Source organism: Homo sapiens, chromosome 7 (genome assembly GCF_000001405.40).
Source record: "Homo sapiens chromosome 7, GRCh38.p14 Primary Assembly".
Classification (NCBI taxonomy): domain Eukaryota; kingdom Metazoa; phylum Chordata; class Mammalia; order Primates; family Hominidae; genus Homo; species Homo sapiens.
In genome coordinates this window covers 11,889,054-11,905,059 of record NC_000007.14, presented here as the reverse complement: position 1 = coordinate 11,905,059, position 16,006 = coordinate 11,889,054, and the positions used below count along the sequence as shown (strand labels likewise).

At 32.6% G+C, this 16,006-nt stretch overlaps 1 long non-coding RNA gene across 1 annotated transcript in view; it reads left to right on the top strand.

Moving 5' to 3' along the window:
* The window catches only part of LOC124901589 (uncharacterized), a 204,867-nt gene extending 189,678 nt beyond the window's left edge, over nucleotides 1-15,189 (top strand). The window contains exon 2 of the long non-coding RNA XR_007060211.1: nucleotides 11,674-15,189. This is a non-coding gene — a long non-coding RNA (uncharacterized LOC124901589). The remainder of the gene's footprint in view (nucleotides 1-11,673) is intronic.
* Nucleotides 15,190-16,006: the final 817 nt, after the last annotated feature.

The window sequence follows — 16,006 nt, the reverse complement described above, 5'->3', positions numbered from 1 at the left end:
TTGAATTTGGTTTCATATGATCATTTTTAATCACTGTATTTGCATTCCTATTTAAAACCAAGCTGATGCAATCTCTCTCTCTCTTTCTCTCTCTCACTCTCATCATCCTCCCTCACTGCTACCCCTCCCAATTCGCTGGTAATCAATATAATACTCTTCTATGAAATCAACTTTTTATAGGCCTATAATGGATAGACAAGTAAAAGACTGGTCTTTCAGAACAGATAGTTTGCAAAGTTTTTGGTGAAAGAATTTGATTAACTTAAATGACACCCTACATTTGGAAAAGGATTATAATCTAAATATGAAATCTTTGAAACATGGGCCTTATTAGTCCTAATTATTTTATGTAAAATTATTTTGTAGTTTTAATTTGCATTATTTTCTTTTTTAATCAATTTTTATTTGTAAGTGACATAATCATTGCACATATTGGTTGGGTACAATATGATGTTTCAATGTATAATGATCAAATAAGACTAATTACTATATTCATTACTTTAAATATTTATAATTTCTTTGTGGTGATAATCAAAACCTTCTCCTCTAGCTATGTTCAAATATACGCTACATTATCATGTGCTATAGTCATCTTACTGTATAATAGAACACTAGAACTTATTCTTCCTGTCAAGCTGTAACTTTGAATCTATTGACCATCCTCTCTCAATCCTCCCTCCCAATTCTCTGGTAATCAATATAATACTCTTTTATGAAATCAACTTTTTTAGATTCCACAAATGCATGAGATCATGCAGTGTTTGTCTTTCTGTGTCTGACTTATTCCACTTAACATAATGTCCTCCAAGTTCATTCATGTTGCCTGCAGTGACATGATTTTATTCTGTTTTATGACTGAATAGTATTTCACTGTGTATGTATATTATATTTTCCTCATTCAGTCATTAGTAGATGGGCATTTAGGTTGATATTTTTATTGTCTATTGTGTATAGTGCTCCAATAAACATTGGAGTGCAGATATCAATTTGAAACACTGATTTCAATTCCTTTGGATATATACCCAGTAATGGGATTGCTGAGTTATATGGTAGTTCCATTTTTAGCTTTATGAGGAAATTCTATACTGTTTCACATAATGGTGGCACTGATTTCTATCCCAGCAACAGTGCATAAGAGTTCCCCTTTCTCCACATCTTTGCCAGCTTTTGTAATTTTTTGTTTTGTTTTGTTTGTTTATTTTTTTATGATAATCATTCTAACTGGGGTGAGGTTATACAACATTTTGGCTTTGATTTCCATTTCCCTAATGATTAGTGATGTGTAATTTTTTTTCACGTAACTTTTGGCCATTTGCATGCTTTCATTTGAGAAATGTCTATTCAGTTCTTTTGCCCAGTTTAAAATTAGAATTTCTTTCGCTGCTAAGGGTTCCTTACATATTCTGGATATTAATTGTTTGTTGGATGCATAATTTGCAAATACTTCCCCCCATTCTGTAGGTTGTCTCTTCACTCTATTGATTTTTTTCTTTGCTGTGCAGAAGATTTTAGTTTTGTGTAATCCCATCTGTATATTTTTTATTTTGTTGCCTGTGCTTTCAAGGCCTTACTCAAAATATTGTTGCTGTCCAATTTCATGAAGCAATTTCCTTATGTTTTCTTTTACTAGTTTCATAGTTTCTGGTCTTACATTGAAGTCTTTAATCCATTTAGGGTTGATTTTTGCATAGGGTGAGAGATAGTTATATAGTTTTATTTTTTCTATAAGTCAATACTCAGTTTTCCCAGTACTATTTATTGAAAAGACTGCCATTCCCTCAATGTGGATCCTTGGCACCTTTGCTGAAAATCAGTTTCCTGTAAATGGATGATTTCTGGGTTTTCTTTTTTGTTCTGTTAGTCTATATGTCTCTTTTTATGCCAGTACTATGTTGTGTTACTTACTATAGCTTTTCTGTATATTTTGGAGTTAGGTAATGTAATGTCTTCGGCTTTGCTCTCTTTGTTCAACATTGCTTTGGCTCGCTGGAGTCTTTTGCATTTCTAGATAAATTTTGAAATATTTTTTCTATTTCTGTGAAGAATGTCATTGGCATTTTGATAAACATTGCATTGAATCTATAGACTGTTTTTGTAATATGAATATTTTGACAATATTAATTCTTCCAATCCATGAACATAGGATATCTTCCTTTTTTTTTTGTTCTTTTCCATTTCTTTCATCGATGTTTTATTGTTTTCATTGTAGAGCTCTTTCACCTCCTTAGTTAAGTTTATTCCTAGGTATTTTTTGTAGCTATTGTAAATAAAATTGCTTTTTGGATTTCTTTTTCAGATAGTTTACTGTTGACAAATTCAAGTGCTACTGATTTTTCTATGTTGATTTTGAATAGAAATTTGTGTTGTTTCTAATAATTTTTTTTGGTGGAGTGTTTAGGGTTTTCTATACATTAATATATGTGAAAATGTTATCTGCACACAGGAACAATTTAACCTCCTCCATTCAATTTGAATGCCTTTTATTTATTTCTCCTGCTTAATTGTTCTTGCTAGAACTTCCAGTGTTATGTTGTATAAACATGGGACGAGTGGACATTCTTGTTTTGTTCTAGATATTAGAGGAAAAGCTTTTAACTTTTCTCTATTCAATTTGATTTAGCTGTGGGTTTCTCATATAGGGCCTTTATTATGTTGAGGTATGTTCCTTCTATACTCAATTCGTTGACAGTGTTTTCATGAAGGTATATTTAATTTTATCAAATGCTCTCCCAGCATCTATTAAAATGATCATGTAGTTTTTGTCCTTGATTTTGGTAATGTGATTGTGTTTATTAATTTGCATATGTTGAATATTTTCTGCATCTCTGAGATGAATCCCACTTGATCACAGTGAGTGATTATTTTTAATGTGCTGTTGAATTGAGTTTGCTAGTATTTTGTTGAGGATTTTTTCATCTATGTTCATCATGAATACTGGACATTAGTTTCCTTTTTTGTTGTATCTTTGTCTGGTTTTGGTATCAGAGTAATATTGGCTTTGTAGAATAAGTTTAGAAGTATTCCCTCCTTTCAATTTTTTGAAATAGTTTGAGTAGAAGTGCTATTCTTCTTTAAATGGCTAGTAGAATTCAGCAGTGAAGCCGTCAAGTCTTGGGCTTTCTTTGATGAGACACTTTTTATTATTTCTTCATTCTCATTACTCATTGGCCTTCTCAAGTTTTTTATTTCTTCATGATTCAATCTTGGTAAGTTTTTGTGTCCAGGAATTTATCCATCTCTTCTAGGTTTTCTGATTTGTTGGGATATACTTGTTTGTGGTAGTCACTTATTATCCTTTGTATTTCTGTAGTATCCATTGCAGTGTCTCCTTTTATATCTCTGATTTTATTTACTTGTTTGTTCTCTCTTTTTTTCTTGGTCTAGCTAAAGGTTTGTCAGCATTCTTTATCTTTTCGAAAAAACAATAGCTCATTGTTTTGTTGATTTTTTTATATTTTGTCTCTATTTTGTTTATTTTTGCTTTGATGTTTATTATTTCTTTTTTTCTAATTATTCAGGTTTTGATTGTTCCTGTTTATCTAGTCCTTTGAGGTATAATGTTAGGCTGCTTATGTGAGATCTTTGTATTTTTTTGATGTAGGCTCTTGGAAATGAGGTTTACAGAATTCTGAAAACTCACTTAAATTGAACAAACTTTTAGCTGTAACAAAAGCTGGCTTAATGTGCATATTGAAACTAATATTCCTTGAAAGTGTTAGCTTCAAAAGATATCAGAGATATCATTTCAAGAAGTCTGTTTCTATAAACTTTTCTCTTAGAACTGCTTGTTTTCCATGCATTTAACGTCACATGAATACTTCAATTAGTTTAAGAATTGACTGCAGATTTTCAATGCATTGTTAAAAGAAAATAGCCTGTCCTAAACCAAAGATTTCTCATCAACATCCACACAAAAGTTTTTAGTGAATCACTAGATTCTAGGTGCAAATTCATTGTTATGCAATTTGAAAACTAAAAATAATACTATGATATAGTTCTTTAGTGGGCACAGTATAGCTTATAGTTAATACCTTCTGGATTCAAAAATATTTTATCTATCTGAACAGTTTCCCTGACAAGTAAATTATATGATAAACAGGTCTGTGGACAACTTAAGTGCTTTGACATATCTTATAATTCATCATTTAATCTTAGAAATTATTTTATATTTCTATTTAATGACTATTGCTCTATTTCATAGATTAATCATTAAATCTTATACATTATTTTATATCTATATTGTTAAAAAGTAAATGTATTTAAACACCCATAAAGAAATACATTACTGCAATTTATTACTATCCAAGGTAGTTTTGAATTAAATATTTCAATTCCAATATTGACAACTATGAAGGAGAATTTAGAGGTGCACTTCAATATTATGTTCTCTTCTTTTACTATGAAAAATGTTGAAATACATCATGAGTGAGATATCTTTGTTTACAACTCTAGCTGTGCTCTTATGCTTTGGTCATTCTTCCTGTCCCATTTGCTTTTCTTTTGATGTAACCTCAAAGAGTAGACTAATGATGCAAGTTCGTGAATGAAAAATAATACTACATGTAAATACTTGTTCTTTTAGTACAAATTATTTGAAGCCAAATATATGGATTTGACTAGTTATTAAATCAAGATCTTGTGATAAGAACTTACCACATCTTTAAGTGGCATACTTTAATTGGCTTCTAACTATGTAGAAGTTCTTGGCATTTTATATTAATAGTAAAAACTAATTGGAAATAATGTTACCTAAATCATCCAAACAAAGCAGTTTTTAGCTAGCTGGCCTGGTTGCAGTTTTTCTCAATATCTCATTGAAGTACTCTTGAAGATATGGAGTAAGTGAACTGATAATCTGATAGAAAAGACTGAACAGAAAACCTAATGCCAGGTTCTGGTAAAACTCGACTATTATTATGAATAGATGGAAGGGTGTTAAGTGTAATTTAGCCACATTTGGCATATGATTTATTTTAGTTTTGCTTTATAAAGCAAAATACCTGATAAAAAGCAACGATATGATTTTTCATTCCTTCTTGCCAGAATCTGTACCTTGTTTCAGAAACTTAGAGATGAACAAAATGGAGAACTTGGCACTTATTTCCTCTATAACTCTTGGAGTTACTTCCTGAGGTAAAGAGAATCCTTGATTTCTTTCCTGCTTCCCCAGATACCATCTTTCTGTATCTGGGGAGAGACTGCCACTCTCAGAAAATAACAGGAAATAAAAGACTTACAGGTAATGCCTGGAAATAATAAAGTAATACGTATGTTTTTTAAATAAAAAGTTTTAACCTGTTAGAAAAGAATGAAGACAACAAAGACATTTTCAAATATGCAAGCCCTGTTTTTAAAACTGAGATATAAGAAAAACAAATTTACTCTAAAAAGGGGAAATAATGGAAACAAGAATTATGAATAAGTCCTAAAATTTCATGCAGTTATCAAAAGCTACTTTTGTAAAAAAGACATATGTTGTATAAATCATACTATAATAATAATAATTTGGCCTTAGAATCCTAAAATGCAGTAAATAGGCATGGAAGGAATGAAACATTGCCCAATTTTCTTTATTAATAATGAAAAACAAAACATACCACTTAATCCTTGACTCTGAAGTTAAAGTAAATATTTTAAGCAATGAATCATTTTCAGACACTTAAAAAGATAACAGTGATATAATTTAAAAGAGACTATACCCTCTCAATTTTTAAAAAACATTAATCATATATAGCAGGAGAGCTAAAACAATACAAAGCAAAAAATTCAAGTATATATATAAAATAAAAGAAATATATAGAAATGGATTAAACTTCCATATGAAAAATTTCTCTGACTAGATAGTAATAATGAGAATAACTTCTAAATTTATTCAACTCACAAGATCCATACCTGAAACAAAATGACATAACATAGCAAATATTCAAAAAAGAATTAATGTATATAACAGGTTTTTTAAAAATGTCAAATGCAAATACTTCCTCGAAGGAAGGGCCTTGTGATTTTGAGTTTTGAATTGAGAAACCAAGGGATTACACCTCAGAAATAATAGTAACAAGAAGTAAACTATCCATCAGTGAGAGAGAAGCTCAGGTACAGTCTTTTTAATCTCTGATTGAATTAAGATGACTTGGTCCCCTAAATCCCTGGCAGTAACAAATTTAAATTTAAAAATTTTTTGTATACTTTTAATTAATTAATTAATTTTTGTTGGAGACAGGGTCTCACTATGTTTCTCAGGCTGCTCTCGAACTCCTGGACTCTAGTGATCCTGCTGCTTCAGCCTCCCAAAATGTTATAACAGGCATGAGCCATTTGTATTGAGATAATTTTTACTTATATTTACCAGTGTCCATTCCCCCTTCTTATATTCATTCATTCATTCATTTATTATATATTTTGTTCTAGTAGATGTTGGTGAATATAATCATGAACAGCAAGCATTTATTAATTTTATATTTATTAAACAATTAAATTAAAATCAATTATTGATTTTATTTACCATCATAGCCCATGTGATGAGCCCTGGAGGAAAGAGGTGGGGGGATGTAGAACTGAGTGCTATCAGCATCCAGAGGTAATAGAAAACTTAAAAATGAGCATGCTGTTCCACAGACAGAATGCAAAGTAAGAAAAGGGTTGGGTAATGTCTCTCCCAATCAAAGAACAAATTCCTTCTTGAGTAACAAATCTAATTTCTAGATTGACTAGAGGGTGAAGCTAAATAATCTTTTTTAAAATAACCATCAAAGCCAGTTTGCTAATTTAACTTATTATCTGTGTTAAACAATTCATCCCACATCTGCAAGAGAGTGGCCAGAAAATAAATCGATTTCTTAATGAAAAGATTTTAATTTTCAAGTTAATTCCCTGTTAGTCACTGCTGAGAAGCACATCTATTTTTTTTGAAATTGCATATTGCTTTACAAAATATGACAGCTGTTTTCTTATTTTCTAGATTTCAAATAGCTTATTTTGAACTTTAGAAATGATAAACTGCTACATTAGTGCCACCTTTAACAGGTTTACATTAATTGTGTTTTATGTGTGTAAACTGAAAATCTATTAATTTTGCCTTTCCTACTCACTTCTAGTAAACTCTCCATTGATAATGTGCCCTATTTGATTTTTAAAAAAGTGATACCAAAGCAGTTAAGTCAAATAAATGAAAGAAGAGTACAAAATATAATTCAAAATACTCATTCTATATCACGCTATCAGTTTATATTTAGAAGTACATTACCCACTAGGGCCCGCTTGTTGAAGCAATTGTGGACTTTATGTTTGTTATTTGGTCATCAAAACTTCTGTCTAAGTACCTAGGGATCTGTTGGGAACAAAATTTGTCATTCTGATTCTCTTTAATGCTTTTCATTGTCTGTGAGAAAATATTGTATGGGCCATTGGGGCCCATTTGCAAAGGTTTCTTCTTTGAGCAAAGGAAGCTGTTGCTGGTATCATTCACTCCAGAGATTTGTGAGTTGAAGAATGAAGTGTCAAAAGTGAAATTAAGACACAGAATAAACATGTGGTGAACTCTAGTAGTACCTGATCAATAGAAACCACAGCATGCTGTTATATAATTTTTAAAAAATTGATTTGAAATGGACAAGTCCAGAGTTTTATATACTTAGGTTCCAGAGGCCCTAAATTTAAAACTGAATGACTATTTTCTGCAGATATTGCAATAGCTTAATTTGCATTTCATTTAATATTATTTCATTTCAAAACATCAAAGTTGATGAATTCTAACATTCTATTATAATACAAATTGCTTGCTTATTAGGTATTCATAGTCATTATTATGATGTCATGGGGGGATTTTAAAGATACGCTAAGTAAAAACAAAGGAGAAAAGAATTTTGTGATATTAAATCAATTCTATCCTTACCAATTTGTTTAAAATAATTTATTTTGTAATAACAAAATTTATTATATAAATCTAACAGCATTGTTTCAGTGCTACCAATGTCCAGTTTCTTTTTACCATGTTCACTAATTTTATGGCATTTTTTGTGTTTTTTTCCTGAAGACCATTTATAATACCTTTTTAAAAGTCTTTATATAAAAATGCATAAAATATTTAAAACTAGGTTTAGAACAGTCAAGATGATTAATGAGATAAGTAGCTCATAAAAAGTAAAAGATAACAATGGCAGACTCGGGTAGTAACAATAAATTATTGAAGACTGTTAATGTTTGGGATTTTGTGTCTGCATAATTAGTCATATCTCTGTCCAGACAGCAGTGTTTGTGAGCATTTCAGGCCAGATGGTACAACAAAGAATTGAGGGGAAAAAAAAGCAAAGACAAAACCTTATCATTTCATTTATATTTTTTAACTTAAGTAGAAGACTACAAATTCCAAACTATTAACAACTGATTGAATTTATCTGCTCTCTGTGGAGTGCCAAATTTTTTTTTTTTCATTACAACATAGTAGTAAAGTTAGGAAAAATGAAAGTATTTATGATTACTTTTCTTTTCTTGTATAAATTAAATTGTCACCTATGGACATGTTAAGGTAATGTTTATTAATACGGATTTTAAATAAGTTTTAGGAATTTTGTCTCAGTGCTTTATTCTGGTGTTTTTATCTAATGAAATGTAGATGTAAATAATGACATGAAGTAAAAGGAATCTAGTTCTTTGACATTTCACTTGCCTTCTAGTCTAGGAAGAGAGCACTGAACTGAGACTCAGTTGACTACAATTTTGCTCCTAAATCTACCACTGAATCAATCACCTATCTGTCAAGTAAATGGTAAAATTATTCAACAAGATATATTAAATCTCCCTAAAATGCTGTAAAGTTGATGCACTATGGTATAAAAATTAAAGAGTCAAGGCTTTATTTAACATTTTGATTTTGATATTTATTATAAGATTATATTACAGATGCCTTGTTTCAATAAGCCCCTGTGGTTTGTTTAAATATGAAATTAAATTTTGATAGTAAATAAAGTTTAAAATATATTAATGATAAAGTAAGTTTTAGAAGGCGAGATTTAAAAAATTTTCTTTGTTATTATCTATTTTAAGGCTCTATACAAAAATACATTCTTTGGTTTCCCAGTTCAAAGCTCAAGATCACCAAGTTCCCTCCTTACCGGAAGCATATCTGCATTTAATATTTGTTGTCATTCATTATATACATTCTTCTTTCTGAAATATTTACCATGTTGGATCATTTTGTTTTAGGTATGCATCTTGTGAAGTAAATAGATTTAGAGATAATTATTATCATTATTGTTATCCAGCCAGATAGCTTTTTTGTAAGTAAGCTTTAAATAGATAATAAATTAAGCTTCTACTTTAAATACATTTGTTTGATAAATATCATTGTAATTTTATTTAACACATATTTTAAGGAAAGATAAATGCAAAGGCAAAAAGATAAATTTAACTGAAACTTAAAGATTCTGAAGATGAAGTAATATAAAAATAGAAGCTGACACTATTGGCATAAATTTGCAGTGCTAATTAAGTTGTGGTCTACTGGTTCCCATATGGTTTGCTTGGCTGCCATGATCACTGTTCTGTTACCTCCAGGGCTTTAAAGAAAATATGCAAATAAGGGGAGGCCCACATGGCCATGGCCTAATTAGAATTGGGCAGTTTGCCTAGGCCAAAATTGAGTACTTTACTTCTCCTTTCTATTTTCCTTATGTCAAATTATTTTAAATCTGTTTCGAGTGAAATAGCAAATGTTTCTTCTTGCAGCAAATATCTTTGCCTATTGGTAAAAATAATTGAACTCAAAAAATATTCATAAAGGTCTATTATATATAGATGTATACTGTCCATGATAAAGGAAAAACAACTACTGTAATATAGTCCCTGCTCTCAAGAAGGTTCTAATAAAGTAGGAAGGAAGCATAAGTATGTAAACAAATAGCTATTGTAGATATACACTAAATTATAGTTGTTTTCACAGCGGGTATAATCATGTTTGCCTGGGCAAATCAAGCAACGAATGGAATCATTTCAGTGAACATTTAATTCCACATCCATCTATTGTCTCTTGGGTGATAGATAAAGTGTTACTTATTGGTAATATACTCTCAATATTTTCTAGATGTGAAAATGGCTAGAAAATGGTTGGAAAACAGATAAAAATGAGTTAGTGCCTAATTATTAGTTGAGGATCAAATGGAAATGTTTTGTCTTCCCAACACTGTTACATATTTAAAACTCTTCCATGTTGCCTGTGTGCAAATTCTTGGCTCATACCTTGTTTCAGTCAGGAATTTGTGGAAATTTCTCCACTGTCTTTGGACATTGTGAAAGTATCTGAGACTATTAAAAAACGTTCTCCTTGCGAGTTATTTAGTCTTCTGTCTAGAAGCACAAATGATAGTTTCTCTACTGATAACTTTAGTAGGTAGGATATATTTCCATGCTGTCCATTCTAGCCAATTTTTTTTTCTCTAAAATCAAATTTGTCTACCTAAATATAGAAATAGACTTGTATTTTAAGACTCTATTTATTTATATACCTGTAAATATTATGTTCCACTTTTCAGAACTTCCTATTTATTTCTGTCAGAATCATCCTAATTTTGCCTAAATTTCTGTTATGTTTTAATTTTAATGTCACATCTTCCCTGATCTCTTTCAATTTATATTTATCTCCTGTTTTCTTGTCATCTCTTCCCCAATTTTTTGTATCTTTGCTTGATGCTCTTGGAAGTAATATATTTATTCAATTTTATAACTTCCTGAAATTTTTGGCCAAAATTTTCATCTATTCCTTGGTATCCTGGATTGAATAGTGTCCCTGAAAAATTCATGTCCACTCAGAACCTCAGAATGTCAGTTTATTGGGAAACAGGGTCTTTGTACATGTAATAAGTTAAATTAAAATGAGATTATACAGAATTACGGTGGCCTCTACATGCGATGACCAGTATCCTTATAAGAAGGCTATGTGAATACATGGACACATCAAGAAAATCCATGTGCCAATCAAGGCAGAAGTTGGAGTGATACAGCTGCAAGCCAAGAAATGTGAAAACTGACTGCAATCACCAGAAGCTAGGAAGAAATAAGGGAATATCTTTTTCCAGAAAGATACTGCACCCTGAAGAAACTTCCAATGGTGCATGGACCTGCCAACACCTTGATCTTGAACTTTTAGCCTCCAGATCTGTGAGAGAATACATTTTTTTCTTTCTTAAGTCAATCACTTTCTGGAGATGTGTTATGGCAGCTCCTGGAAGCTAGTTTACTTGGTAATGTTTTGTAGTGAGTGTTCTTCATCTTCCACAACCAGATCTGTCTGTTAAAGAAGTGGCTTTTTTCTTTTTAATCCTAGAGGGCAAAGGGAATATTTGAGACTAACTGAAATATATGTGAATGATCTAGGGATGGATATATATATATGTGTGTGTGTGTGTGTCTGTGTGTGTGTGTATGTGTGTGTACATAAATATTTTTTTAGCCATATCATAAACCAATGGATATATGCAATTATAATTTTACACACATTAAAAGTCTTTCTGCACTGATGTCATGGGGCTAGAATAGTGGTTTCAAATATGGCTTATGTTTGAAGCCATCTCCAGCCTATGCATCCATATTAAAACATTTTTGTGTTACTATACCTTAAGAAATATCTAAGGCTGGGTAATTTATAAAGAAAATAAATTTAACTGGCTCATTGTTCTGCAGGTTGTACAGGCATGGCAACAGCCTCTGTTCCACTTCTGGGGAGGCCTCAGGGACCTTTTATTCATGGCAGAAGACAAAGTGGGAGCAGGTATGTCACTTGGTGAGAATTAGAGCAAAAAAGTAAGGGGAGAGATGTCACACACTCTTAAATAATCAGATCTCATGTGAACTCAGAGAGAGAACTCACTCACTGTCAGGAGGACAGCACTAAGCCATTCATGAGGGATCCAATCCCATGACTCAAACACCTCATACCAGGTCTCCCCTCTAACGTTGCAGATTACAGTTAAATATGAGATTTGGAGGGAACAAACATCCAAATGACATTATTTCACCCCTGGCTCCCCAAGACACATGTCCTTCTCACATTGCAAAATATAATCATCCATTTTCAATAGTTTCCCAAAGTTCTAACTAGTTCTAGCATCAACACAATTGAAAGTTCAAAGTCCCAAGCCTCATCTGAGGATGAATTCCTTTCACCTATGAGCCTGTTATTTACTTCTAAGATATAATGGGAATATAGACACTGGGTATATATTCCCATCTTAAAAGGGAGACATTGGTCCAAAGAAAGAGGCAACAGACCACACACAAGCCTGAAATCCAACAGAGTGATCATTAAATCTTAAAGCTCCCAAATAATCACCTTTGACTTTATAACGTGCATTCAGGACACACTGGTACAAGGGGTGAGCACCCAAGGACTCTAGGCACAATCTGCAAACTGCTGGTGGGTCTACTATTCTGGTGTCTGGAGGGAGGCAGGCCCATTTTCACAGCTTCACTAGGCAGTGGCCCAGTGGGGTCAATTTGTGGGGGCTCCAACACTGCATTTCCCCTTGGTATTGCCCTAGTAGAGCTTCTCTCTGGAGATACATTTCTGTGGCAAGCTTCTACCTGGGCATCCAAGCATTCTCATAACATTGTTTGAAATCTAGGGGGAAGCTGCTAAGCTTCCTTTATGCTTTCATTCGGTACACCTGCAGGTTTAAGACCATGTGGAAACCACCAAGTCTTGTGGCTTACACCTTCCAGAAGGGCAGCCCAAGCTATATATGGGTCCCTTTGAGCTAAGGCTGGAGCTAGAGAAGCCTAGATATGGGGAGCAGTGTCTTGAGGCTGTTCAGGGCAGCAGGACCTTGGGCCTGGTTCCTGAAACCATTCTTTCCTCCTAGGTCTCTGGGCCTATGATGGGAGGGGGCTGCCTCAAAGATCTCTGAAGTGCCTTTAAGGCCTTTTCCCCCTTGTCTTAGATATTAGCATTTGGCTCCCTTTTAGTCATGCAAATCTCTCTAGCAATTGGTTGCTCTGCAGCATGCTTGAATTCTTCCCTTGAAAATTAGCTTTTCTTTTCTACTGCACGGCTAGGCTGCAGATATTCTAAACTTTCAGCTGTGCTTCCCTTTTAAATATAAGTTCCAACTTTAAGTAATTTCTTTGCTCTTGCATTGAATCATAGGCTGTTAGAAGCAACCAGGCCACATCTAAGCTTTGCTGCTTAGAAGTTTCTTCCGCCAGGTACCCTAAGTCATCACTCTTAACTTCAAACTTCCACAGATCCCTAGAACATGGACACAATTCAGTTAAGTTCTTTGTTAGGGTATAACAAGAGTGACCTTTGCTCTAGTTCCCTATAAAGTTTACACTTCCATCTGAAACCTCATCAGCCTGGCTTTCACTATCCACATCTCTATCAGCATTTTGGTCATAACCATTTAACCAGTCTCTAAGAAATTCTAAACTTTCCATCATCTTCCTGTCTTCTTCTGAGCCCTCCAAACTCTTCCAACCTCTGCCCATTATCCAGTTCCAAAGCTGTTTTCTCATTTTCGAGTACCTTTATAGCAATGTCCCACTCTTCACTACCAATTTTCTTTAATTATTATAAAGAAATACCTGAGACTGGGTAATTTATAAAGAGGTTTAATTGGCTGACCATTCTACAGGCTGTACAAGTATGGTGCCAACATCTGCTCTGCTCTGCTTCTGGGGAGGCCTCAGAGAGCTTTTACTCACAGTGGAAAGCAAAGCAGGATCAGGCACATCATATGGTGAGAGCAGGAGTAAGAGAGCAAGGGGGGAGGTGCCACACACTTGCAAGTGACCAGATCTCACATAAACTCAAAGACAGAACTCACTCACTGTCATTAAGACAGCACTAAGCCATTCGTAAGGGATCCAGCCCCATGACCGAATCACCTCCTAACAGGCTCCATCTCTAACATTAGAGATTACATTTAAACATGAGTTTTGGAGGGGACAAACATCCAAAATAAATCAGCATTGAATTACTGCCACCACATATATGGAATTTTGGTTTTGTGTCACAAAAGCCACAGTCTGGTTTGTGTCTAGGGCTTGAATTTATCAAGGCTAGTTTTTCTGTGTATAATTTTTCTCATTGGCTACGGATGACATTCAGAAAGACAAAAGGTAATGTCAATCTAATACCATCACTTTCTCACAGAAAGTTTTTAGTCTAATTACTTAAATGGGAATTCAATTTTGATGGTAGTCCAAAGTAAATTTGGCTCTAGTTATTCTGTTAAGATATAGTTTGATATAGTGGGTTGAGCATTTAGGAACCAGAACCCAGTTGCAAGATATAAATCCTAACTGTGACTCTTCCTATATCTTTTAGAAAGTTACTCAACTTTCCTTTGTCTCAATGTGCTTATATATAAAATTATAATAATAAGCAGCTGTCTCTTAAGGTTGCTGGGAGCACAAAATGAGTTACCTCTGTGAAGTGCTCAAGATCAGAGGCTAATATATGGTAGGTGATGTTCACCATTTTTATTCTCCCGCACATGAAAATACTTTATTGCAACATGTCTTAAAATGTAGTTATTCAAAAGTGTAGACTCCTGCATATTCTTTCAAAGTTTCAATTTTGTTGAAGATTTAAAAAAAATTGACATATTCTACATGACTCAAATAGAAGTCAGTTGGTGATTTATCACTAATTTAATTATGATTCATTTGTCATCAGTAATGAGCTACAGTGCCAAACATGGTTTCCACTTTCAAAAATAAAATTCTTATTTTTTTCTGTAGAATATTTCCATTTAAAATTCTTTAGTTTCTCTCTAAATTTCATGCAACAAAATTCTTTTAAATTCACAGAAATTTCTTTACTATTAAAAAGATCCTGGTGATAGATTCATATTCAGATAATGAGAGTTTAGAGTTTAAATTATTACTATGAGAGTTAAAACTATAGTCATAGGAAAATGAATACATTTATTATTTAACCCTCCACCTAGTATAATTTTAATTCTTAACCAGATTACCCTATCTTTTCAAATTATTACTATTTCACATTTAAAAAATGTAGTACCTTTTAGAATAATCTTCTATTATATTTTGGTGATGTTGTCCAAAGATAGATTTGCTCAAGGTAGGCAAAAGAACTTATCCTTCCTTGGGAACCATCCTGATATTTGCAGACAATTGTCACACTTTAATTCTGTCCTTGTCATTACTCAATAAAGTATACTTGTTTTAATTCCATTAAGATTACTCATATGTTAATTCTTTGTTTATTCACTCATTGTGCTGCTCTGAATCCCCATAATTTTTATGTTTTTATTAAAGATATATCCTGAAATGAAAAGCAAAGGGATACATGCAATTTTGTAAGTTAAATGATCCCCATGTTTTATGATTTTCTAGAGTAAAACAAAAATTCTTGTAAAGGCTAAGCTTGTGAATAGTTATTCCTGTGCTTTTAGAGAAGAATATATTTAGTGTTGGGTCATAGGACTGTGTTGCATGTGTCTCATGCACCTATGTATGTTAGTACAATTGCCAGATTGGTTTTAAAATGACCAAGCTATTATAGAACTGTGTATGTAATTCCAAAACATTGAAAAAAAATTCTATTTTGGAAATTTACTGGAAGAACAGTCATCAGTGTAACTTAATTTCTTACTGAAACTGATGGGTGCTTTTTACGTGTGGATACTTTTCATGACAGTATTTAAATTTAGTGTCTTTCTAGTGGAATTGACCCATCTCATTATCTGGGATCATCCATTCTGATTTTTTGGGCTTTTTTTTAAACCATAAAATGTTAACTTTAAGCTTCAAGACCTCTTGATATTAGATGGGAAAAAAATTAACTACTAAAAAATGTCTTTGAAAAAAAGTAAACTGCTATGTTGAAAACATGGTTCTCAACATGAAAAAAAGTTTGAGTAATACTGGTTAGTTTTTACTTGTTAGCCTCTGTATTAGTCCATTTTCACACTTCTGATAAAGACATACCCAAGACGGGGCAATTTACGAAAGAAAGAGGTTTATTGGACTTACAGTTCTGCATGGCTGG